Source organism: Homo sapiens, chromosome 10, assembly GCF_000001405.40.
Source record: "Homo sapiens chromosome 10, GRCh38.p14 Primary Assembly".
NCBI lineage: Eukaryota > Metazoa > Chordata > Mammalia > Primates > Hominidae > Homo > Homo sapiens.
In genome coordinates this window covers 92,006,681-92,033,773 of record NC_000010.11, presented here as the reverse complement: position 1 = coordinate 92,033,773, position 27,093 = coordinate 92,006,681, and the positions used below count along the sequence as shown (strand labels likewise).

At 38.0% G+C, this 27,093-nt stretch overlaps 1 protein-coding gene across 20 annotated transcripts in view; it reads right to left on the bottom strand.

Annotated features, from left to right (window-relative positions):
* Positions 1-2,336: 2,336 nt before the first annotated feature.
* Positions 2,337-27,093, bottom strand: part of BTAF1 (B-TFIID TATA-box binding protein associated factor 1) — a 107,668-nt gene continuing 82,911 nt past the window's right edge. For 18 of the 20 annotated variants that reach the window (NR_165093.1, NR_165097.1, NR_165099.1 and 15 more), the window contains 13 exons: positions 25,499-25,651; positions 24,824-24,945; positions 24,566-24,733; positions 22,624-22,701; positions 22,359-22,488; positions 19,966-20,107; positions 19,745-19,875; positions 17,309-17,434; positions 14,839-14,991; positions 8,807-9,018; positions 7,023-7,182; positions 6,474-6,644; positions 2,337-4,984 (listed from right to left, as the gene is read on the bottom strand). Coding sequence is in view for 6 of the 20 variants with exons in the window: in NM_003972.3 (NP_003963.1) it covers positions 4,841-4,984; positions 6,474-6,644; positions 7,023-7,182; positions 8,807-9,018; positions 14,839-14,991; positions 17,309-17,434; positions 19,745-19,875; positions 19,966-20,107; positions 22,359-22,488; positions 22,624-22,701; positions 24,566-24,733; positions 24,824-24,945; positions 25,499-25,651 (1,890 nt within the window). In the remaining 14 variants the exon portion in view is untranslated. The remainder of the gene's footprint in view (positions 4,985-6,473; positions 6,645-7,022; positions 7,183-8,806; positions 9,019-14,838; positions 14,992-17,308; positions 17,435-19,744; positions 19,876-19,965; positions 20,108-22,358; positions 22,489-22,623; positions 22,702-24,565; positions 24,734-24,823; positions 24,946-25,498; positions 25,652-27,093) is intronic. The other 2 variants (NR_165101.1, NR_165090.1) reach the window with 1 other exon arrangement.

Here is a 27,093-nt window from a genome sequence, read left to right as displayed (position 1 = left end):
ACTGGTGGATTCGGCAAGTAAGAAGACCAGTAAGATGACAGTAGTCTAGGAGAGGCAAGGTGGTGGTGGGAAAAGTTGTAACCAAGCGAGTCATAGAGAAACGCCACACTTTGAGACTAATTCAGGAGTCCTTTATTAGCCGGCGACCGAGAGACAGGCTAGCGCTCAAAATTCTCTCGGCCCCGAAGAAGGGGCTAGATTTTCTTTTATACTTTGGTTTAGAGAGGGGAGGGGGACCCTAGCTGTAGCAATCTTACAGAAGTAAAACAGGCAAAAAAGTTAAAAAGACAAACGGTTACAGGAAAACAAACAGTTCCAGGTGCAGGGGCTTTAAATTCATCACAAGGTGATAGGTGTGGGGGCTCTGGGTGATATCTGCTGGACACAAACGCGGGGGCTTTAGAGTACTATCACCTGAGCAAATTCCTGGGCACTGTGGACATAGCTTGCTTGCCACAGTACCTTATCAGTTAATTGCACTCTTTGATGTGCTGGGAGTCAGCTTGCACAAGTTAAGTCCTTGAGGAAGGGGGTGGGTAAGGAGCCCTTAATGTCTTGCAAATGAAGGAGCCAAATGGAATCCATCTGGCTTTCTCAGCTAAGAGAGAGTCAATCAGGTTAATACAAGTTACGGTATCACAGAACTACAGTAGTAGCAGTGGAGATGAAGACAGGTGAAGAGATTTGAAATATATTTTGTAGCTAGAGATGGTAGAAACTGTTGATGGATTAGATGCAGGGACATATAGAAAATAGTCCTAAGAGTGACTTGTCTCTGTTCCCATGATCTCCCTTTCCTTCTGGACCTCCTAACAAGATTCTCTTGTTCAACATTCCAGTTCACAAATTCTCTCTTCAAATGTGTGTAAAATGCATTGAGAACTGTTTCTCATTTATTGGTTTTCAAATGTCTAATCTTTCATAGTATTTTCCTATCTGTTTTATGATTTATTTTATTTGTACTTCTTAAAGAATTCTACTTTTATCTGCTGGCTTTTCCTCCTGTAGATGGTATGTATGTAGGCTTAATCTTTCCTTCTATGATAATCCTATGGGACCCTATTAGAAACTCTCCCTAAAGGGCAGTTTTTGTATTTGTTTCTGCTGGGGTGCCAGAATTGATTTTATTTTCTTGACTTGTGGTTCTTACAGTATAAAACACTTAGCATAAACCCAGACCTTACACTTACACCCATGGTAAAGGCCTGGGATTCTGATTTCATATAGATAACTTTGTGTGTGTGCTCACGGATCTAGTCCTACTTGAATATGTGATCTCTTTGCAGGTTTATGGAGGGGACTAATTCTCCTTGTCTCTACATGGAAATTAGGATCTCAGCCCCTATATTTAATGGAACTTCACTGGTTTTAGTGGATTTATTATAGATTCATAGGAACCCTTTCTTGAAGCAGGAGGTACTTTGTATCTCTTTACAGATGGTGGTTGAAAGTGCTGTGTATAGGCTGGGCACAGTGGCTCACGCCTGTAATCCCAACACTGGGAGGCCGAGGCAGGTGGATCACCTGAGGTCAGGAGTTCAACCAGCCTGGCCAACATGGCAAAACCCTGTCTTTACTAAAAATACAAAAATCAGCTGGGCATGGTGGCAGGTGCCTGTAGTCCCAGCTACTCAGGAGGGCTGGGGCAGGAGAATGGCTTCAACCCTGAAGGCAGAGGTTGCAGTGAGCCAAGATGGCACCACTGCACTCCAGCCTGGGCGACAAGAGTGAAATGCCATCGCAAAAAAAAAAAAAAAAAAAAAAGAAGAAAATGCTGTGTATAAAGAGGAAACATTTTCTATTAATTGATATAACTCAAGTTTTTGTTTTATTGATTCACTTGATGATTCACTTGAGTCCTCTAGCATCTGATAACAGGTGTACCTGCAATCAAGTTCACATTATTATTATTATTTTTGAGACAGGGTCTTGCCCTGTCACCCAGCTAGAGCACAGTGGTGAAGTCGTAGCTCACTGCGACCTCAAACTCACCTCAGCTTCCTGAGTAGCTGGGACAAGAAAAGCATGCCACTGTGCCTGGCTAATTTTTGTATTTTTTTTGTAGAGACAGGATCTCCCTATGTTGCCCAGGTTGGTCTTGAACTCCTGGGCTCAAGTGCTCCTCCTGCCTTGGCCTCTCATAGGCATAAGCCACCGTGCCCAGCCCAATTTCACTTTAGACTCCACTGGTGCCAGCATGGGAGGTCTGCAGGACATAGAAGATTCTATTAGGATTAAATATTTAGAACAGATGTGTGATGGAGTGCTTGTTACTTTTGTATAATTTCTATTATGTTCGAATTCCACTTTTGTCTATAAGTGATCACATTCTCAAATAGCTTCAGTGGAATATTTACTTTTGAATAAGTAAGTTCATATAAACCATCCAGAAGGAATAAGGCTATACCAGTTCAATCAGTCCCAACATCAAAGACTTTTACCCTTTCACTAGAATACTTTTTGGAGAAATGTTTGTAGAATAAATAAGCATATACAATAAGCATATATATGAGTGAATATATGAAACAAAAATTATACCCAGGCCCCCAAATGTTAAGATTTTCCTACAAGAAACCCAAATGATAAGACTAATAATCTCTGAATCTATATTTTTAACAGTTTGCTATTTCCTATCATAAAGACACAAAAACCAAGGGAAGTAGTACAATGGATATCTATGAACCCAATTCCCAGTTTAAAATAGTTAACATTCTATCATGCTTGTTTGACTTCCCACACCCATACATTGAAAAAACTACCAAATCATCACATCCATGAAATTGACAGCAGTTCTTTAATATCATTCATTACTCAGTTCAATTCTCCACATCTCTTCATTATTCTTAAGATGTACTACAATGACTGGGTCATTTAATTAAGAATACTTAGTTCTTACCTGTTTACATGTTTTCCTTTCTATGGAAAAGTTGGAATGTGTGATTTACTATTTTACAACTCAAAAGATTATTTTAAAAATGTTATAGCCACTCTAAGTTTTCCTGTCAGCTCTGACTCCTGTTTCCCATTCAGAAGCAACCACACATCATTTTTCTAGTCATCCTTCTAGAAATACACACCTTTTGATTAAACTCTCAGAAAGTTTAAACAGCCTAAATATCTGACTTCTAGCTCTATCTGACATTTCAGATTGGGAAAAAGTACTAACTTTTATGGTGTGATTTCTTTTGCCCCTTCATAGCCCTTTAATGATATATTGCTCTGTACTTATTCTAAGAAAATATCAATTACTATAAGCTATGTTAAAGAGCTGGTTTATGGAACTAGCAAATAAATAGTTAATAAAAAAATATTCAACTCAAATATACTGAAATGTTCTACATAAAGTTTTGAGTTAAAATCCTAAACAATGAAAAAAAACCTGTATACCTGAATAATCTTTTGCTCTTTCTAGTGACCATTTCCTACAAATAACACACAGTTGCATATATTTTACAGTTTCAATCTTATATTTATTCTCTTGTGGAATGCTAGGTTTAATGTTACAGTATGGTTGTCAAAGCTAATGAAATGTGACAAATGTCTAAATGCTGCAGAACAGTATAATTTTAATTAAACAAAACACCTGTTATTGTACAGCTGAGGTCTGATGGTTGTTAAACTGATGCCTATGTGTATGGCCAGCCACAAACCTTGGGGATGTTTATTACCTGTACATATATATACAAATATATCCCATACATATGTATGCACACAGGCATGTATTAATTTATGCGTGAAACTTATAAAATTATATATACAAACACATACATGCACATCTATCTACATATACCTACCCTCACCATTGAGTAATCAGCCTCATGCCCAATTATTATTGCTGCCCAGTATAACTACATGATTTTAGTGCCAATACCAGGCACCTTTTTGGGTGCAGGATAGGTACATCTATGCATATAGATATGCATATTCATGTATGTTTGTGTATATAAAGAAATTCTCTCTCCCTTTTATGCTTCAGCCATGCATTACTACAATAAACAGTCTTTCCACTGTAGGTGTTGGAATTCTAAACAGTGTAAAATCTATTTCTGGAAAACTGTGTATGTTCATAGTTACAAAAAATATATTATATATATGATTGAAACCTATTGAGTACATATGTTATTTGAATCTGGCTATATCGTAGCCATTAGATAAATTAAAAAAAACCACCCTCTAAATAGGATGTTATGGTAGCCTTAAATATACCATTACCTGTATTTAGAATAGTTGATATTATATCTTAAAAGTTGAAAAAATGATGTTAAAGATTTGAAAAACACTATGCATCTGCATTAAATATATAAATGTTTCCACCAAGGGCCCGATTAAATTCATTGTCTGACATTTTCATGTTCTAAGACTGACCAATATCATAGTCATTATTCTTATATTCTTAAAATTATGGCTCATTAAGGCTTTTATAGAAAAAAAGCCCTATTTTAAATCAATTATAAAAACAAGTTCTATTTAAAAGAAAAAACATATACAAACACTAAAGTACTCATGGATATCATCCTGTACAAAGTGACTAAAGATAGGAGGCCTGTTCCCATTAAGAACACCTCCTGGTAGCACAAATAAACCTGGTTTGGTTCCTCTGCTCTGCAGCTTTTCAGCATGTAAAATTTAAACCATTTCACATTAACATTTAAATTTAATACAGTGCAAATATTTGAGAATAACTTGTTTCCCCCAGTGAAACAAGAGCCAGCATTATGCTGAATATTCTCCAGATCTATTTACACATTGAGTTAAAAGTTCACCATAAACTTAGAAATTTGCTGAATATCAGCAGAAATGTAACTGAACTAGCAGCAATTGCATTTACAATATTTGATAGTTACTTGAGAGAATGCATAAAATTTTCCAGGCTGTACTCTGAATCATACTGCTCTTGATCCCAAAGATCACTCAGGTTTTCAAGAATTGATTTCATACTTGCTTTCCCAGAAGTAGAGGTGTCAGCTTTTTCTGCTTTGCCATCCTTAAGAAAAATTGGCAAAAAAAAAAAAAATAAAATGAGAGGTTAACTTCACAAATTGTATTTTCCTTTAAAATCACACTTGTTTCTAATACAATTATTCAACAGAATTGAGTACTTCAAGTGATGGGGAAATTCATGATCTCCAAATACATTTATTTGTCAGTTTTTTATTTGGAAAGAACTTCAAAATTATGGAAGAATTATAAGAACATAACAAAGAACTTATTTGCTTTATCATTCTCTCTCCCCATTTATATATGTGTATGTATATATGGATGTCAGAAATATAGTTAGATATCAGTTTTTTCTCTGAACAATTTGAAAGAAAGTTGTAGACATCATGTCCTTTTATCCTTTGAGAGGAATCAGCATGTATTCCTAAGAACAAGAATATTCTCTTACATAACCATATAAAGATCAGATTAAGGAAATCTAACACTGATATTAAAATGTTCTAATATACAGTCTGTTTTCAAATTCTGCCAATTGTCTAAATAGTGCCTTTTATGGCAATAGGCCATTTCCCTAAAATATCCCTCTGAGCCCAGTTCTGGTCACTGAAAGTCACCCATAAGAATATTCCTTCAAACAGAATAAAAGCTATTTGAAGACGGCTATGCATGTTTCTTTGAGCCTTCTTTTTTCTATGTTAAACATGTCTCATTCTTTCAACTTTATCTTGACTTTCAATATGACATGATTGAAGAACCTGCCTCCATTCTGGCCACCAGGGACTTAATTTGTTACCATTTAAAATGTAGCTCCCCAAACTAGACATATTTCAAATGTGGTTTAACATACACATAGTATGGCAGAACGATTTTCTCTTACTTGAAAGTACACTTCTGTTATTACAGCTAGTTTTAATCATCATATACCCCACCATAATTTATACTAAGTATGCAGTGGATTTTCTGAACCTATGTAGGACTTTAAATCCAACTATATTGGTTTTACAATATTAGACTCACTAATATTTCCAAGTGGTGCATCCTTTTGATTATAGATTGTTATCTGATGTATTAGTTCCATCATCTGCAATAACAATGGCTACTATTTATTGAGAATCTACACTAGATATCCTTTCTGACTGCTTACATATATAATCTTACATCACAACCATGTAGTAAAATAGGTATAGAAGCTCAGAGAGATAATCTGCCTAAGGTAACCAGTTAACAGGAGGCAGGGCCAAGAACTCTCACCCATGAGTCTTACTGACTCCAGTGATAAGCTGTGCTTTAGCAGAAAAGGACTAAGGAAAGAAACCTTGTGGCAAGACACTGAAGACATCAATGAAAAAAAAAAATCAAAACTTCACACATCCCCTAGTATGCTGCAGAATTTATCTAGGCACCAAAAATTCCCTCCAGTGGTGATCTCATGGATACTAAAGTAAACGCATTTTGCTGCTCCTTTAATACTTTCAACTTAGCAGTCACAGGAAGCCTGTGACTCAAAGATACAACAAATTGTGTAAGTTCTTTACCTTATCAAGAGTAAACAGATCAAGAAGCTGATCAGTCCCCATGCTCTGCAAACTAGAATTCTCTTGGCTAATAACAGTATTCGCTATGTTCATCTTGAATTTCTGCAACCCCATTATTTTTTCTTCCAATGTTCCTCTGGTTATCAATCGGTATACGTTAACCACACGTTTCTGGATAAGAAAAACAGTTAAGCAACCGTAACACATATTATGCTTTGAGGTTCCAACGAGTCAGAGGGCTTGTAGACTTGTACTATTTTATACTACCTAATTAGGGTTGGATTTTTATTTTGTCTGGCCACATGAGCTCAAAATGTGTGCAGCAATCACAGAATATTAGGGATGAACAGTGATCCAGGTTTTCCTAAGTGCTAGCACCTCATTTAATGCATGAGGAAGTGATACCACAGAAGAGTTAAGTGATCTGTCCAAGGTCATAACACATGTATGTTAACACCAGAGCAAGAACTAAACCAAGGTTTCCTATCTTTCTGGGGGAGTATATTTTCATGCACAGGTTAACATCTGTGAGGTAAAATTGACTTTTACCTGCCCAATGCGATGGGCCCGGTCCATGGCTTGTAGATCTCGCATAGGATTCCAGTCATGCTCCACAAATACTACTGTGTCAGCGCCTGTCAAATTAAGTCCCAGGCCACCAACGTGAGTGGTAAGTAACAGAACGTCTATAGATGGATCATTATTAAACCTAAAAGTAGATAACAAAAATAAAATTAGTCCATTCTTAAGTCCTATAACAGAAACTGTTAATAAAAATTAAAGAGCACAAATGAAAATGCTGCTTTAAAAATCCACAATAGGGATACTTACATGATCATCTGAGAAAAATATCCTCTCAATATGTATAACGTTTTTAGTAAAAGAGGGCATTCCAAAGCTATTCAGGAATTTCATAAATACAAAATAAGGCAAACTGCATTGAATTTAGTAACATCAGGTAAGGACTAACTTGCAAAAATATAATTAAATGCTAATTATAATTAAGATAAACCCAACTATGAACCTTTAAAGTATGGGGACAGAGAAGTGTGAGAACAGGCTAGACTTTCATTCAGGGACGACAGAAGGTGAGAGTGTTAGGGTTGCTACTACTGTACTAGTCCTAGAAGACACTGACAAAGGATATCTAGTAACTTCTAGGAAAAAGAAAAAACTAACATTAAAAATAGCAGCTACCAAGCTACGATTTATTATCCTTACTACAAGTCAAGCAATAGTCTTTGTACTTTATATGCATTATTTTATTTAATTGTTACAATAGCTCTATAAGGGTATTATTACCAATATCCCTATTTTAGAGAGACTGAGGCTGTGTGAATGATAAACAGGCTCAAGAGAACACTGCTTAAATAGCAGAGCCAGGAGTCAAACCTGAGCCTGTCGGCTTCCAAAGTCCCTCCCCGGGTCTCTAACTTTATTGTGCCTAATGATCTCTTAGGGATGCTTGTTTTTTTTTTTTTTTTTTTTTTGAGACAGAGTCTTGCTCTGTTGCTCAGGCTGAAGTGCAGTGGCCCAATCCAATCTCTGCTCACTGCAACTCTGCCTCTCGGGTTCAAGTCATTTTCCTGCCTCAGCCTCCAGAGTAGCTGGGATTACAGGCATGTGCCACCACATCCAGCTAATTTTTATATTTTTAGTAGAGACAGGGTTTCACCATGTTGGCCAGGCTGGTCTTGAACTCCTGACCTCAAGTAATCCACCCACCTTGGCCTCCCAAAGTGCTGGGATTACAGGCATGAGTCACCGCGCTCAGCTGGGATGCTTGTTAAAAATGGCTACTCTTGAAGTCAGCAGCTTTGGGACTAAGCAGAACCTAGGAATCTGCATTTTTTTTTTAAAAAAAAAAGCAACCACTGAGATTTTAAAAGTAGAGGCTGCAGACCACATGTGAACACTGCACTCACCAGTTCTGCTTCCTAGCTGGGCCAGATTCCAACTTGTTCTCAGTGCACAAACAGGGATTAGGATGGAGATTTTAGCTAAGCCACTTGTTTGGTTCCTCTCACCCTAATTCTCCCAAAAAGGTAAGGGGGAAAGTAGTTATCCTTACTGTTGGTTGATGCCTTAAATTTCTTTCATGCTCTTCAGAGTGCTTTTCTATTACAGTCACACCCTTTTCATATGCTAAGCAAATAATCTATTCGATTATATTTATGTAGTTCTATAGTTAAAAAGGGGTTTATTTGGGGTGAATTACACAATTAAAAAAATGCATTTGCAGATATTTAGCCAATGAAAATATTTCATGGGGCAAACTTCTATGTAAGTAATAATATATTTATTTATGAATAAGAGTCTTAGAAGCCACTTACCGGGAAACAATGGAATGCCTCTGACCAGGAGGTATGCTGCCATCTAATCTCAAATAAGTGACAGAGGGCAAGTGAGGTTTGAGGAGATCATGCTCTACTATATCAAGCATGCTTTTCAGCTGACAGAATATCAGTATCCTGTGCTGGGCCACAACAGACTCTGTGCCACTCTCGGAAGTGCTGCCATTTCCCAAACCGCAGTCCAACAGCAACTTAGGAAGAAAAAAAAAAAAAACTACATAAGCGTTCAATAAAAGCAGAAAACTAATCTCACTGTGACATTCCTCTCTGTGGCAAGAAAAGGTTAAATGTACCTGAAATCTGGAAAGCAGATTAGCACTTTGGGCTGCAATCTGTCACCCTGCAGCACACTGAACTAGTTTTTGAGGTGCTCAGGCTTAGAGCTCCCTGATCACCTCTTCAGAAGTTTTCATTTAATTTTTTTTATAGACTCAAGATCTCACTATGTTGCTCAGGCTGGTCTTGAACTCCTGAGCTCAAGTGACCCTCCTGCCTCGGCCTCCCAAAGTGCAAGGATTATAGGCATGAGCCACCACACCCGGCCCAGAAGTTTATCTAATAACAAACCTACCTTCCTTTTCCTCAATCCTTGAGACTAAAGCCTCAATAAATGTTTATTGAAAGTAATGACAAAGAAGATGCCGCAGACAAACTGGTTCCTAAAGGGTTATTCAATAATGTATGAAGAAAACAATGGAGCAGCCACATTTGGTAGAAAAAATTATAGAAAAGAAGCATTTAGCTAGATGTGGATTCTTGACAAGACAGCTTATTACTCTATCTGTAGACCAAGATCTTTAATGGCAGAAACCACATTTTGCTATAGATCATTTATACTTATTCCTAAAGTGGTTCGGTGCCTTGCACACAGCAAGTGCAATTAATAAATGAGCGAATAAAATCCAAGAGAATCATGTTTAGATCAATTTGACAAACAGTATACCCAATAGTACTCTTCTTCATCCATAGTATTTGAGCTATTACTGAACTCTGTTCAAAATCTAAGAGCTGGGCCGGCAGTGGGGGCTTATACACCTGTAATCCCAGCACTTTGGGAGGCCAAGGCAGGCAGATCACTTGAGGTCAAGAGTTCGAGACCAGCCGGGCCAACATGGCGAAATCCTGTCTCTACTAAAAATGCAAAACAGCCAGGTGTAGTGGCATGCACCTGTAGTCCCAGCTACTTGAGAGGCTGAGACAGGAGAATTGCTGGAACCCTGAAGGCGGAGGTTGCAAAAACAAAATCTAAGATCTTTTTTTTTAGAGACAGAGTCTCCCTCTATCACCCAGGCTGGAGTGCAGTGGCGTGATCTTGGCTCACTGCAACCTCCAACTCCTAGGTTCGAGATATTCTCCTGCTTCAGCCTCCTGAGTAGCTGGGATTACAGGTGCCTGCCATCACGCCCAGTGAATTTTTGTAATTTTAGTAGAGATGGGGTTTCGCCATGTTGGCCAGGTTGGTTTCGAACTCCTGACCTTAGGTGATCTGCCTCAGTCTCCCAAAGTGCTGGGATTACAGGCGTGAGCCACTGTACCGGGCCAATCTAAGATCTTCATGCAGGATGATTTCTCCTTTCTACTAACAGAAGTTACTCAAAACACCAAAAGCTCTGATAGGAAAGATAACCAAAAGGCCATCCAGGCAAACTCCAAACTCAATGTAAAACACTTAGGATGTTGTATAGAAAAGGACACTGTTTTCCTCAGAAAGTCCTCTTCGTAAGGTTGAAATTTGGAACCTGGATTTTAGGAGTCTTCCCATCAGTCCCTAACTGGTAATGATAGTTTACTGTGCCTAAACTACTGTGCAAATAATATGATTTAGGCTGAAACCTGCCTTCTGAGGGTCTGGAATTTTGATCCATGCTAGGCAAAGGGAGTATATGTGACCAGCCCCCAGTAAAAACTTTGGGTACTGAATCTCTAATAATCTTCCCTGGTAGACAACATTTCACATCTATTGTCACAATTCAATGCTTGAGGAAGAACACATGTTCTCATTCTTCTACCTAACAGCCCTTAAAGTTTGAGATTTTTATTATATAGTAGAATATGGTATACTAGGGAGACATTCCTCCAAATAAACAAGTCTGATCGATGTAATTACCCCTACATCTTGCCTTAAATCTGCGATCAAATTACTATTCAGCTGTTTCTTTTAAAAAGTCCTATCTAAGGTGTCTCAGGAGAGACGTGACTATGTGGTACGCAGTATAAATAATGTATATTGGCTGGGCATAGTGACTCATGCCTATAATCCCAGCACTGTGGGATGCTAATGTGGGAAGACTGCTTGAGGCCAGGAGTTCCAGACCAGCCTAGCCAACATAGGAAGATCCCATCTCTAAAAAACAAAACAAAATTAGCCAGGTGTGGTAGCGCACACCTGTAGTCCTAGTTACTTGGGAGGCTGAGGTGAAAGGATTGCTTGAGCCCAAGAGTTTGAGGTTGGAGTTATGACCACACCACTGTACTCCAGCCTGAGTGACAGGGTAAGACCCTCTCTCTAGGAGAAGAAAAAAAAAGTGTTATAAGTGTGACATCCTATACAGATCCCATAAGAGTTCCAGAGAGTGAAATTTTATCAGAATGTCTGTGTCATGCACACTCAATTATCTCAGTTCCATAGGCAGCAATGTCAAAACCTTAAAGATAACCAGTTATATTAAGAATATCCAACTAGGACTTCTCCAAGACCATACTTACCAGACATTCTTCCTAATGTAATCTTTCCCTGGTGCAGCTATCCTACTGAATATGTGGACATATCATTTGACGTAAGTATCTCTGTCTGGTAGCAGAATTGATACTCTGGTATTCTCACTAATCTATAACCCAAGTCTGCTCTGAGAGACTGATCGAGTTCAGGGCCTTGAAAAGTTGATTACTAGACTCTAGCAAATATTTACCAAGGCCATCTAATAATGGGTGTTTGAGAGGTCAGCTGACACCCCAGAGAGCATTTCAATTTTATCTTGCCCTAACTTCAGCATAGGCTAAATTACCCGTTTTTTCAATCATTCCTCATATTAAATGGCTTCTAGATGTTTTACCATTTTGATCTTCCACTTGTAGTGGTCAAAACTATAAAACTCAAAATTTGGGCCAGACACGGTGGCTCACACCTGTAATCCCAGCACTTTAGGAGGCCCAGGCAGGCGGATCATGAGGTCAGGAGAGCGAGACCATCCTGGCTAACACGGTGAAACCCTGTCTCTACTAAAAATACAAAAAAAAATTAGCCGGGCGTGGTGGTGGGCATCTACAGTCCCAGCTACTTGGGAGGCTGAGGCAAGAGAATGGCGTGAACCCAGGAGGCAGAGCTTGCAGTGAGCCAAGATCGCGCCACTGCATTCCAGCCTGGGCGACAGAGCAAGACTCTGTCTCAAAAAGAAAAAGAAAAAAAAAAACAACTCAATATTTGTTCTGACTAGTATGAAATACAGTGAAACTATGATGCCCCCATTTTGGCCGTTATATAGTTATTAATCCCAGCCAAGATCCTATTAGTTTTATTTACTGGCAACTAATTCACACCGTTCTTATAGTGAATTTGCCATCAAATCAAACTCAACTTTGCCTCATATAAAATATTTGCTAAGTCTCACATAGTCAAAATACACCTAAGTGTTTTCTTTTAAAACTGACTCTGCTTATCTCCATTAATTTCACCTACAGTTTTAGTTCTTCATTACAGCCTCCTGGAATTTTTCATTCTAGCTTTGGCAATATTAGATACTTCTCCCAGCACTACTTGCTGATAAACATGTTTCTACCAACAGATTTTTAGAAAGCAAGTAAGACTTCTCCTCTAACTTCACAGCATATACATATTTAGATTTAAAAAATAAATTTATCCTTCCTGAGACAGAACCTTCACTCTGGCTGAAAAGAACCAAGAAAATGGATAAGAAGGCTACTAGAAAAGTCTTCCGTGAGGACAGCCAGAAAAAATCTGGGCCTCTTTAAGTTGCAGACTTCCTAAGCATCTTAATTCGAGATGTGTCAGGGTGACAAGAAGCACACTCTAAAATAAGAGATCAATGTAATTAGCAACTGCTGGGAAAAAAAAAATCTGTAAGAACCTATGTAAAATTCAAATATGGATGAAATTCAATTTTTATTTTGAAAATAGATCTAATTAGAGGATTCCTTGACTAAGTATATCTTACAGCTTTACCTAATATACTAGCTATGTTAGGAAAACCATGAACATTCTATATAAAGACCTACAGCAAGGTTTGGTCAAACAAGAAAACCATTCCATATATCTAAAGGTAACAATCATTCTTCAGTTTTACAGTGTGAAAGTTCATAGTCCATTTTACGTTTAGTGATGTAAGGATACATATTTGGATATATATGCCAGATACACTATTAGATAACATTTTCCACACTAACCTATGTGGAATCTAAAATCTTCATTCATTAGTTGTTCTCAATGAGCTTTAGGCCAGAATAACTACTGACCACAAGCTAAAACAATTACTAAAGTCTAGATTTTACAATAAAATCTTCGTTTATAAGGGTAGTTAGAACTAAATGGCATAGTGCTAACATTTTGGTGCTTGAAATTGTTTCCCTTAATCTTTTGAAATCCTAGAATTTTTAAAAATTAATTTTTAAAAGCAACACCAAGAGGGTGACATCAGCAAAATGATAGAGTATGCAGTTCCAAGTAAAATAAAGAAATCCACATCGACATGAATTATAAACTGTTTAAAGACAAAGAACCTTGAAAGCAGCAAGAAAAAAGCAAATGGTCATGTAAAAGGGATCTTCAATAAGATTAACACCTGATTTCTCATCAGAAACCATGGAAGACATTATCAAGAAGTAAAAAGATAACCTATAGAATGGGAGAAAATATCTGCAAATCATATGTCTGATAAGGGTTTAATATCCAGAATTATAAAGAATTTCTCGGCAGGGTGTGGTAGCTCATGCCTATAATCCCAGGGCTTTGGCAGGCCCAGGTGGGAGGATCGTTTGAGGCCAGGAGTTCAAGACCAGCCTGGGCAACACAGTGAGACCCCCATTAAAAAAAAAAAAAAACAGCAACAACAAAACAAAACTTTCACAACTCAACAAGGTGAAATAAGCCAATCAAAATGGGTAAAGAACTTGACTAGACATTTTTCTAAAGAAGATATGGAAATGTCCAATAAGCACATGAAAAGATGCTCAACATCATCAGTCATTAGGGAATAGCAAATCAAATCCACAAGGAGTTATCACTTCATACCTAGTAGGATGACTATAATTAAAAGAAATCAACAAGTGTTGGCAAGGATATGAAGAAACTGGAACCCTGGTACATTGCTGGTGGGAGTGTAAAATGGTGTAGTCATCGTGAAAAAGTTTGGCAGTTCCCGAAAATGTTAAACATAGAAATGCTGTATGACCTACCTATTCCACTCCTTAGTCTCTAGCCAAAAGAACTAAAAAGAGTAACTCAGATAGATACTTGTAAGCCAATGTTCACTGCAGCATTATTCATAATAGCCAAAAGGTGAAAACAACCCAAGTGTCCACTGACACAGAAATGGATGAATGAAATGTGCTATATCCATAAAACTGACTAATGAATAAGCCACAAATGACAAATATTTTATGATTCCACTTAAATGAAATATTTAGAACAGGCAAATTCATAGAGAAAGTAGATTAGAGATTACCAGGGGCTAGAACAAGGGAGAATGAAGAATTATTGCTTGATGAATATAGAGTTTCTGTTTGGGTGGTGGAAATATTTTAGCAGTAAGATAATGCTGATGGTTGTACAACATTGTAAATATAATGCCTCAGATTTACACACTTAAAATGGTTAAAATGGCATATTTTGTGCTGTATATATTTTAACCACATTTTTACAAAAAGCTGTATCAAAAATTTAACCAAATTTAAAAATAAATGGTAAACACAGTAGTAATCTTTAAGAAAAGCAAATTTACCAAGAATTTATATTCCTGGGGTACAACACACATTTAACACTTAAAAGACATACATACTTGTTTCAAAGCTGAGAGCTTAGGGGCATGTTGAATATCATGTAGAGAAGAATTCTGAACTGCCAGTTTTTCGGCAGTGGTCTTGAATTCTGGATGTTGAGGTGTTAAGACTAATGCTGGATGGTTGCACAGTTTACGTAAGTACTGTAATGCCTTCAAGAGGAAAAAAAAAGTATATATGAGTCAATTTCGCATATCACAAATATTTTTATCTCTGTATCTTTCCCTATGCTATTTCCTATGCTGTTTAGAATGCCTTTCTCCCTCTTCTTGCTCGGCAAACTTCTACTCATTCTTCAAGAACCAGTTCAAATGTCTCATTTGAGATTCTTGTGCAGTTTCTATGCGGACATTTACAACGCGTATAAATTGTACTGTTTATATCTGTCTCCCCCACCAGACAATGAGCTTCCCATGGCAAATTGAGCGTCTTAGTTGTTTTCTTTAAAACCCTTTCCCACTCAAAGTACCTGGTAATGCAGACAGATGCTTCTGGAACCAGGGATCATTTTGGATACAAAAGTTGCTCAAACTTCAGTGAGTGTAAAAATTTCTGGCCGGGCATGGTGCCTCACCCCTGTAATCCCAACAGTTTGGGAGGCCGAGGTGGGTGGATCCTGAGGTCAGGAGTTCAAGACCAGCTGGCCAACATGGTGAAACCTTGTCTCTACTAAAAATACAAAAATTAGCCAGGCATGGTGGCATGTGCCTGTAATCCCAGCAACTCGGGAGGCTGAGGCAGGAAAATTGCTTGAACCCTGGAGGTGGAGGTTGCAGTAAGCCAAGATCATGCCACTGCACTCCATCCTGGGTGACAGAGCGAGACTCAGTCTTTAAAAAAAAAATTCTTGAGGACCTTATAAACCTGAAATTCTCTCCCTTCTACACATTATTCTGATTCAGTAGATGAGAGGAGGGGAGCAAGGAAGGGGACTGTCTCAAGTGGTTGTGTTTGTGAAACAGAACCTTATATGGTCTCTTCTCTGATTCAGCCACACTTTCTCTTCTGCCTCTTACTTGGCTTAAGATTTGGGTCTCAGCCTTGGCACACAGATGTTTTATTAGTAAGCTCCATTGGCAAGGCTCAAGACAGTGCTGAGCACTAGGATTAAAACTTGTGGGAGAGGCCAGGTGCAGTGGTTTGCACCTATAATCCCAGCTACTTAGGAGGCTGAAGAGGGAGGATCACTTGAGGCCAAAAGTTCAAGACCAGCCTGGGCAACATGGTGAGACCTTATCACTAAAAAAATTTTTAAAAATTAGCCAGGTGTGGTGGTGTGCACCTGTAGTCCTACCTACTTAGGAAGCTGAGGCTGAGGATCGCTTGAGCCCTGGAATTTGAGGTTGCAGTAAGCTATGATCCCACCACTCCAGCCTGGGCAACAAAACATGACCCCTTCTCTTAAAAAAACAAAACAAAACAAAACAAAAACTAGATCTTCACAACTATCTTTTCCTTCTTATATCTTTAAAAATGCTACAGTACTTAATCTATTAGCAGGAGGTTTTCTGTGGTGGACTATTCAAGAGGGAAAGATAAAGTGACACTTGCCACCTCTTTTTGCTATTCTCTCAAGCATATGAGGCATGATCTGACTTGAGACTTCTGTACTTTTTGTATCCTCTGCCTGGAATCACTTCCCCCCATACACCTGCATGACTTAATCCTCCTTCAGATCTTTGCTCAAATGTCACCTTCTCAGTGAGGCAGTCCCTAGCCCCTCGATTAAGAAACCACAACCTACCCTGGACTCTGATACACTATAACCACATTATTGGCTTTGTCTTACACATAATATATACCTAAGTATTTTTCATCTCTACAAGGGAAGGAGTCTGTTTTATCTGCTGTTTTAAGTAATCCCAGAGCTTTGAAAAATTACTGCCATGTAGTAGGTGTTCTAATATTTTTTGAATAAAAAAGCAAAAGATTCTCTATTCTAAAGCCCTTCTTTTCATGTAATATACAAACATATATTGCATTTTATACATTTAATTTTAATATTAAAGTGCTTATTAAGATATATTAAATAGGTATTTTAACTTATTTTCAAGAATGTATACATAATATTGAAACAAATATACATAGATCCGTATTTTATTATTCCATATAAAAAGTGCCTCATTAAAAATCATTATTCAACATTTAAAAAGTGGGATGGGCCAGACGTGGTGGCTCATGCCTGAATCCTAGCACTTTAGGAGGCCAAGACAGGTGAATCACTTGAGGTCAGGAGTTTGAGATCAACCTGGCCAACATGGCGAAACTCCATCTCTACTAGAAATACAAAAATTATCCAGGCATGGTGGCGCACACCTCTACTCCCAGCTACTCAGGAGTCTGAGGCATGATAGCTTGAACCCAGGAGGCAGAGGTTGCAGTGAGCCGAGATCATGCCACTGCACTCTAGCCTAGATGACAGAGTGAAATTCCATCTCAAAAAAAAAAAAAGTAGAATGTAATCTATACCTGGAATACGTGGCCTGTAGCTTTAAGCTTTGGTTTTTCAGTTTCTTCAGAAAGTGTAGCTGAAGAAACTGTTTCATCAACATCACACTTGGCACGAGACTTAGCAAAATCTTCATAGAGCTGAACCTGTAAAATGGCCCCCGTGGGAGAAGCTTTAAGTATATTTATTTTCAATTGTTCAAAACACATAACCAGCAAAGGCCAATAACAGCAGTAATTTAAATCAGCCCTCATTAATGAAAACAAATTGTGATATCTCTAATTCACTACAGGAATTACAGGTTATCCACTCCATCTTGGTAAATTCCTTTAAAATTACATTTAGAAAACAAGTATGAACACATTAAGTTCGGCTGCCAAAATATGAAAAATACAAGTCAAATAGTCCAAGACTCAATTTTTCTACTGTTCAGGAAAATAAATACATTACCAGTAAAAGAAAATCTTAGAAAAATTGAGTCTTAAAAAAGAAAAAAAGAAACTCTTAGAAGTAAATGAGAAAAATCTTCCTTAAATGAAGTTACATGATCAAGACCCTGTATGTATGTTTCAAGACACCAAATTTTACAAGAATGTTACTGCTAGCCTAAAAGGGGAACATATGTCAAGTTTTAAAGTACTACGCTGGGGTCTGGGTTCCTATCTTGTACAAGCTAAAATAATGTGAAAGAAAAGAAAATCTAGAGAGCTAAAGGACAGAAATCAGAGAATAAAAAATCTGTGAATGCTAAACAAAGCCAAAATGCCATTTCTCTTTGGAGCTCGCTTTCTCTAGATTGATTACTTAAATGCATTTTATGCCTATGTTACAGCACCACAACCAGTAAATCACCACAGATTTTTTTCACATGACATCTTTTCCTTATTGTACCTACTTTAAGAAGTCTTCATTTCATTACTTCAAAAATGTATTCCTTTCAAGAAATATTAATTTTTGCAAATGAAGGAAGAGGGACCTGAGAGATGAGGCAGATAGTACAGAAGAATCAAAGAACTCTCAACTTCTTATCCTGCCCAAGTTGAATAGATGAATACCTGTTAACAGGTTAACCATCTATACAATGGAGGGGGGAAAAGTAAGTTTCTGGGTATGTATATCTCTTATTCATTTGACCGTAGTGAATCAAATCCTAATAGTAAGATAGACTGACACATACAAACCTAGAACATAAAAAAATTTTCAAAGAGAAAATTCTGACCCAGAGGCCATGTCTTACTAAGACAAGGAACAGTTTCCATTTAATTCTTAGAAAAGTACAAGGAAAGGCTCACAATAAATTCCTTTAATAATGGTCTTTATGTACAAAATCAGAACTGTGCACAAGGCAAAATTTATTTTGAACATTTTTAGGTAATGAAATAATACTTCAAAGGGAATGAGTGAGGTCCCACTGACCAAGGTTTAAAACTCAGCTCTGATACATAGTCATGCACTGCACAAGGACATTGAGGTCAACAATGGACTACATATAAAATGGTCATCCCATAAGATACAATATTGTGTTTTTACCATACCTTTTCTATGCTTAGATATACAAATATAATTGTGTTGCAACTGCCTACAGTACTCAGTACAGTAACATGCTGTACAGGTTTGTAGCCTTGGAACAATTGGCTATACCATCTAGGTGTGTGTAAGTACACTCTATGATGTTTGCACAATGACAAAATCACCTAATGATGCGTTTCTGAGAAATCACCCAAGCCATTAGCACTGCACAATTGTGTATTAGCTCTATGACCATAGCCAAGCTATGTAACTTTTCTGAATGTCACTTTATTTGCAAAAATGGGGATTAATAATACCTATAATGTTGTGAGGACAGCATGACAACATTCAGAAGCAGATTTTTGGCCTTTATAAACATTGGCTTATTTCCTTAGCAATTTAATACCTTGCAATCTTTTCAATTAACTAGACACAAAAGAAAGCAACTGTAGGCTGGGACGGTGGCTCACACCTATAATCCCAGCACTTTGGAAGGCCAAGGTGGGAGGACTGCTTGACCCTGGGAGTTTGAGACCACCCTGGGCAACACAGCAAGACCCAGTCTCTACAAAACTTAAAAAATTAGCCGGGCATGGTGATATGTGCCTGCAGTCCCAGCTACTTGGGGGACTGAGGCTGGAGAATCACTTGAACCCGGAGGTCGAGGCTGCAGTGAGCCATGACTGTGCTCCTGCACTCCAGCTTGGGTGACAGAGTAAGACCCTGTCTCTTAAAAAAAAAAACTTAAAAAGCAACTATGATACTGAATTTTGTTTTAATGCTATATTCAAAATGCATACACTCAAACTTACATCCACATCATTTAGGCTTTATCTGCATCTGATAAAGCCAAAGGCTAAGCCCCTTTATTCAATAGTTTTGTGGCTCATACAAAACAATCTGCTAATAAACATACCACTAACAATGATAAACACGAGATTCCTAACCTGGAGAGGACTAAGAGTACAATAATAGTCTTGAATAATTTTAGGTGGAAGATCCTGCAAAACATCTTCTTTCATTCTTCTCAAAAGAAACGGTAGTACTTGGCGGTGCAGCGCATCCATAGCAAGAACACCTGTTAATAGTTAAAGAGAAAATGGCTTCAAAAAAGTTAAGAATAAATTATATTCACTTACACAGGGTTATAATTATATCTCTTTCATACCTGCTTCTTGCTCTCGACTGGAGCTTCGAGCATCCCTACTTGCTAATATAGGTTTACCATATCGAGCAGCAAACTGGCGTTCAGTACCCAAAAATCCTGGCATGAGGAAATCAAATAATGACCACAGCTCCAAAACGTTGTTCTGTAAACAGGAACACCAATTATCTTTTGTACTGGGATTATTTCCTTACAACTAAAAAAGTAACATTAATGAAAGCCCATTATTATAATCATATAGATGAGAGATTATCACTATATTTTTAGACATATGGTGTAAGTCTTTATTTTAGTGTGTAAAATTCAGGTCAGTATCCTTGGAGAGAATATTGTATCCTATCTGGGGGAAATCCTCAAGTCTCCTTCCCTAGAATAAGCCTTGGTCCACAGTGTTACAATTTACTGTTGGCATTTATGAAGTACTAAATAGAAGAGCAGAAAGATAACTTTCTGATTATTTTGACACTCAACAGCAAGATTTAAGGAATGTGGCCAATATCACCATTTCATCATCAACAACAACAACAACCTATTAGAATTTGGTTATAAGTCAAGCCCACTCAGTATTTATGGGCCACAATGCAAAGACACAGATTCTTTCCAATTCTACCATCGAAGTTTCATGGAAAAAAAGAAAAAGAAACCAGCACTTTTTCATTTCAGACGCTTTCCTGATAGGTGCAGGTCCTAAGGTACCCTTTTACCCACCTTCCCCTTTAAGAATCCCTCCTCACCCTGCTCAGTGGCTATCCTCTCATTTGGACACACTTCTAATCCTACTCAGGGCCTCTGCCCCCTGACTCTGGGCCACCATGGCTTTTGTAAGGAAGAGGAAAAGAAAGGGCCTTTAAAAAGCAAACAACTAAAAACCAAAAAACTTCTTCCGATGTCTGAACCAAGTAAAAGCAATAACATACTTTAAATTACTATGATGTTTCCATATAACTTCAAATTGAAGCACAATAAATCTTGATAATTCAGCCTAAAGAGGCTTTTTTCCCTTTTAATTATATTTTTAAGCTTTTTTTTTTTTTTTTTTTTGAGACAGAGTCTCACTCTGTCACCCAGGCTGCAGTGCAATGGCACGATCATGGCTCACTGCAACCTCCACCTCACGGGTTCAAGTGATTCTCTTGCCTCAGCCTCCTGAGTAGCTGGGAGTACAGGCGTGCGTCACCATGCCTGGCTAATTTTTGTATTTTTAGTAGAGATGGGGTTTTGCCACACTGGCCAGGCTGGTCTCAAACTCCTGACCTCAATTGATCCACCCGCCTCAACCTCCCAATGTGCCGAGATTACAGGCATGAGCCACCGTGCCCAGCCTTACATTTTTAAACTTTTGATAAATTTAGAAAGGCTTGTAATTATCTCTTGCGGTTATTAGAATCTGCAGTGTTTACTTAATGAACAGAACACTAACACTTGTGGCCCCAGCTACTTGGGAGGCTGAGGTGGGAGGATTGCTTGAGCCCAGGAGGTGGAGGTTGCAGTGAGCTGAAATCACACCACTGTACTCCAGCCTGGGTGACAGTGAGGCCCTAGGAGGGGAGGGGAGGGGAGGGGAGGGGGGGAGGGGAGGGGAGGGGAGGGGAGGAGGGGAGGGGAGGGGAGGGGAGAAGGGGAGGGGAGGGGGGAGGGGAGGAGGAGAGGGGAGGAGAGCAGGGGAGGGGAGGAGGGGATGGGAGAGAGGGGGGACAGGAGGGGAGGGAGGGGGAGGGGAGGGAGGGAGGGAAGGAGGGAGAGAGAGAAAGAGTAGGTAAGTACATAAAGAATCATCAGTTTTTAAAGTTGGAAGGAATCTTAGAGGTCACACGGTGTCTACTTCTCTACTGAGAATGATTCAAGGTCTTCCCACCAAAGTTTGCTATCCAAGCTAGATGTGAACATTTGCAACCAATTCTTCTGGAGGACAAGATAATTTCTCAAAAGTATCTAAAGATACATACATACCTATCTCCTTCCTTTTACAAAATAAACTTCTACAATCGCTTGCCTTCAATTTCCTCCTGACATCAGGTATTCACACTTCTACTATATGATGATTCACCTCTGACTCAGCTCTAGCTTTTCAATGCTAAATCAGATTGCAGTGTACTACTATGGAAGGAGAATGGCCAGTGTGGAGTAGAGTCTGATTTTTATGTCTTTCATACTTTTGACACAAGATTTCTATTTATATAGTCTAAAATTACATTTTAAAAATGACTTTTAAAACCTGGTTTGTTTACCAATGAACCATTAAGCAGGCAATAATTATATACTGGAAAATTATCATTACTATAACAACAATAAAAAATCTTCTTTAATTCACCGCCAAATACCAAGCCTACCCTCCACCTGGCAAACATGAAAAATAAAAATAAAAATAATTAAAAAAAATAATAATAAATAATTACCTGGATTGGTGTTCCAGAAAGAATAATCCTATAATTAGCAGTCAGTTGTTTTACTGCTTTTGACAACTTTGTTTTTCCATTTTTGATGACATGGCCTTCATCAAGAATGCAGTAGTTAAATTTAATATTTCTAAGGGAGAATAAATAGAAAATTTTACAACTTTTGCTGTATGTCAGGAACTATATGAAGAATCTTTAAAGTGGGAAAATATTAAGAGTCTTCAAATTTGATATTAATTTTTCTAAAAAAAAAATTAATTCTTACCTAAAGAAATCTATGTCATTCCTCACAACATCATATGAAGCCACTATTAGATTGTGCCTTTTTACTTGGTGCTGTAACCTTTATTTAGAAATGAATAAAATTAGAAAACAGAGACCCTGAAAAGTTCTTAATAGCTACCATTTGTATAAAGTGCTTTCAATCTGCCCACTAAGCCCAGCATTCCCTTCTGCTTACTCTACATACATGACCCTGAAGGGCTACTCTTCTGATGATCTGGCTGTGTTGCCCTACTCAGTCTGATTAGAAAAGAGATGAACATCAGACTGAAAATATGGTGGACATTTCAACTTTATTTGCCAACATCTCTTCCTTAGGGGCACTATTCCTTTCTCACTCCATGTTGTTCTAGGTGATGTGGGGGAACTACCAATCATGTGTCCCCATAATCACCAAGGAAATGAAGCATTTGAACCAGGTTAAGCTATTCACAATACTTAATCCCCTAACCACAAAGGTTGTTTTGGGAGCATGACCCAAACAAGGCCAGTCAGTCATCTCCAGTACTGATATATTCATGAGAGAGAGGGAAGATCTGTTTACTACAGTTGCCAAGCTAAGAGAATATGGGCCAGAGACTGCCCATTGTCATCTTATCTACCAACTGTAGACTGAAGCCCAATAGTAACAATAAGTTATGTAAGGGGAGGAAGAGTGAATGAGAGTAATCTAGATGGGCCTGAAGCAACAATCTGCCCCTGAAATTCTCAAGTTAGTGAATTAATGAATTTTCTGTTTGCTTAAGCTAACAGAATTGAATATTGAGAACTGAATATTGAAACTGAGAATTGAGTTGAATTTCTATCACTTACAAATGAATGAATTCTATCAAAGAGGCACTATAGTAAACTGCTCAAGAGTGCAAGTTTTTGAGCTGACTGTATTCAAAGCCTCACTCTGTCCACTTAATTAGCTGAGTGACCTTGGACCCAGACCCCATGCCTTAGACTCCTTATTTGCAAATTGGAACAACAGTATTCCTACCTCATAAAGTGACTGTGAGAATACATAATGCACAATTTTTTGTTTAGTTTTTTTTTCAGTCCTGCTCCTTCTATACATAATACACAATTTTACATAAAAGAAAAGCTGCTTAGAATAGTGCCTGGCCAGTAAGTGCTCAAGATAAAAACTAAAAATTTTAATAACAACATTATTTAATAATAATATTTGCTATTATTAACACAGGAGTACAGCAAATCTATGGACTAATCTGCAACTATGACTATCCAACCTTTAAAAAATCAATGAGCTGAAATCAATGAGCTTCCACTTGAAAAAATTTACAGTTAGGAACATAAGAGATGTACTAGTTAATAGGGAAGGGGTAAAGCTGAAACAATGCTAAAATTTAGTGCAGCCATGACTGCAGCGGCAGCTAAAGCAGCCATAGTGGAACAAAAGTACTTCTGTGGAGAGGGAAGGAAAGGGAACAAAGCAAAGGGGAACTCTTTTTTATTTAAGAGAGGGGAACTCACTATGTTGCCCAGGCTGGCCTTGAACTCCTGGGCTAAAGCAATCCTCCTGCCTCAGCCTCCTGAACAGTTAGGACTACAGGAATATTCCCCTGCACATGGCTCAAAGGAGAGCTCTCAGGAAAGTGGGTAGAAAATGAGAATAAAACAGAAGCACCAAAAAGATGCTATGGTCACAGACTCCCAAAAGGGGCATACAAAATGGCTTTGGTTCCTGATAGTTCTCCAGCTCTAGGAAAGCTCAACTTATTGTACAATGGTTAAAATTCCTCAATTTTGATGAGCCTCACTGATTATATCTTCCCAAAGTACATTCACTTTTCATAAGTGAAGTTTCTATGTCATACAACCAAAAGAGCTAATTAGAATTCACTTTAATAAATGTTACTGTTCCTTATCTTAATTATGACAACAGATGAAATATTTTGTTATTGTCATACAACTCTTACCTTATTCTTTCAGTGGGAGGTCCAGTGTAATGCAACGGGTTGAGATATTCTCTAGAGCAAAATTTACCTACTTCATCCACCCAATGGCCTGTTAATGTTGGCGGACAAACCACTAAGGAAGGAAGTGGCATACATTCTGCTAATTTTGATCTTGCATATTCCTGGGCCCTTTACAATAGCAAAACACAATAAATTAACCAGCTTGTTTACATTTCTCCAAATCCGGAAACCTTATTTTAAAATAACATCTTAAATTACCTATGACAATGATCTCCTGCTAGAATGCAGATGGACTGTAAAGTTTTTCCTAAACCCATGTCATCACACAGAATTCCATGAAGTTTATACTTATTAAGAAATGCTAACCAGTTCACACCATCCTGATAGAGAGAAAAATCATAAATGTGAATACATCATAAATTTATTTTTTCTTATAAAAACATTTTCTTATAAACAACGTTTGCACAAAACAAAAATATTTCTATATGCAAAAGAGAAATAAATGGGTATAAGACACTAAACACAAGATTTTACTAAATCGATTTTACAAAATGCTTTAAGGCCAGGTATGGTGGCTCACATCTCTAATCCCAGCACTTTGGGGGGCCAAGGTGGGAGGATCACTTGAAGCCAGGAGTTCAAGACCAGCATGGGCAACAAAATGAGAACGCTGCCTCTACCAAAAAAAAAAAAAAAAACTAGCTGGCCATAGTGGTGCACATGTATAGTCCCAGCTACTTGGGAGGCTGAGGTGGGAAGATGGCCTGAGTCCAGGAGTTTGAGGCTGCAGTGAACCATGATTCTGCCACTGCACCCCAGCCTGGGCAACAGAGCAAGACTCTGTCTCAAAAAAGAAACAAAAGCCCCCCCCAACAAACCCACAACGCTTCAAGGTTCATTTGAAAGGAAAACTCACTATTGTATAAAACTTACCTGCTGATATTTTCTGAGTTCAGCATTGATTGGTACTGGAATTTTATAATTTTCCAATTTTTTCCCATCTAACAATTGCTCCAAAAAGTGTCGCTCCTTGGCTTTCAATTGGATTAATTCTGCTGACATGTTTGGAGGGTCTGGAATGCCTGCCTAAAATGATTTTTTTAAAGTTATTAAAAACTACGTACTCACAGTTTTCATTCTTAGATCAAATAAACACAAAACAAACACACAGAAAAAAGAATTCTGAAAATTGTACAAAGACTTGAAGACAAATCAGGTTAAAGAAATTGACAAGCATTAAAGGTGCTACAATTAGTCTACTAGTAAATACATATGGAATATCTGAAAGACCATAATCTACAACTTCATTTTCCCACACTATGCATTATTTGATAAAGAGGCATATAAAGTTGCATAGTTTAATTTTGAATTAAATGCCATTACTGGCACTTCTCAATTTTAGTGTTCTGATACCCTAGGGTATTAGCTCTCAAAATGTGGTCTGCGCGACCCCTATGGATCTCTAAGACCTTTTCAACTATTTCATAATAAAAGAAAAACATTATTTGCTTTTAATCACCATGTTGATATCTGCGTAGATGTTACAAAAGTTACCATGGAGAAAACTGCGTGTACCTCTGAAAGAATCAAGGCAATGGCACCAAAATGTGCTAGTAGTCATATTTCTTAGAACTATACATTAGCATTTTTTCAAATAGCCAGTGTTACTTAAAAATGTCCTTGATAAGCGAGGCATGGTGGCTCGCACCAGTAATCCCAGCCCCAGGACTGCAGGAGGCTGAGGCAGGCGGCTCACTTGAGGTCAGGAGTTCAAGACCAGCCTGGCCAACATGGTGAAACCCTGTCTCTCTACTAAAAATACAAAAATTAGCTGGGCGTGGTGGTGTGCACCTGTAGTCCTAGCTACCCCACGCTGGCAGGAGAATCGCTTGAACCTGGGAGGTAGATGTTGCAGTGAGCTGAGATTGTGCCACGGCACTCCAGCCTGGGTGACACAGCGAGACTCCATCTCAAAAAAAAAAAAAAAAAAAAAAAAAAGACAAAAAATACCTTGATAGAGCAGTAAAAATGATCGATTTTAATAAATCTCAACCCTTTAATGCATGTCTTTTTTAACATTCTGTGAGGAAAAAAACTGTGAATTCTGCTGCTTATCAAAGTACAATCTGTTGAGGAGCTGAACTAGCCATTTTAAAAAAAAAAACCCAAATATGAAGTCTTTAATACTCCAAGAATTTCCTTGACAAACTCAGTAGTGTTTATATTATATATCCATCCTGGATGTACTAACTGTATGTTCTGTTTGTGGTTGATGTTTCATATTCTTAAAATAAAGATTTATGGGTATTAAACTTGGAAACACCAGAAAATAATTATTACTTTTCTTTAGACAAACTGTGCCCAGGAGAAAGAAAGTATATTAACATAGCCATTTTTTAATGGAACAACATTTTACTTGAAAGGACTGATAAACTGTGGGTATTCCGACTTTGGTATTTGGCTGACATTTTCTCAAAAATGAACTTGTCACTTAAAGGAAAACAACTCACATTAACTTGTTGTCACTG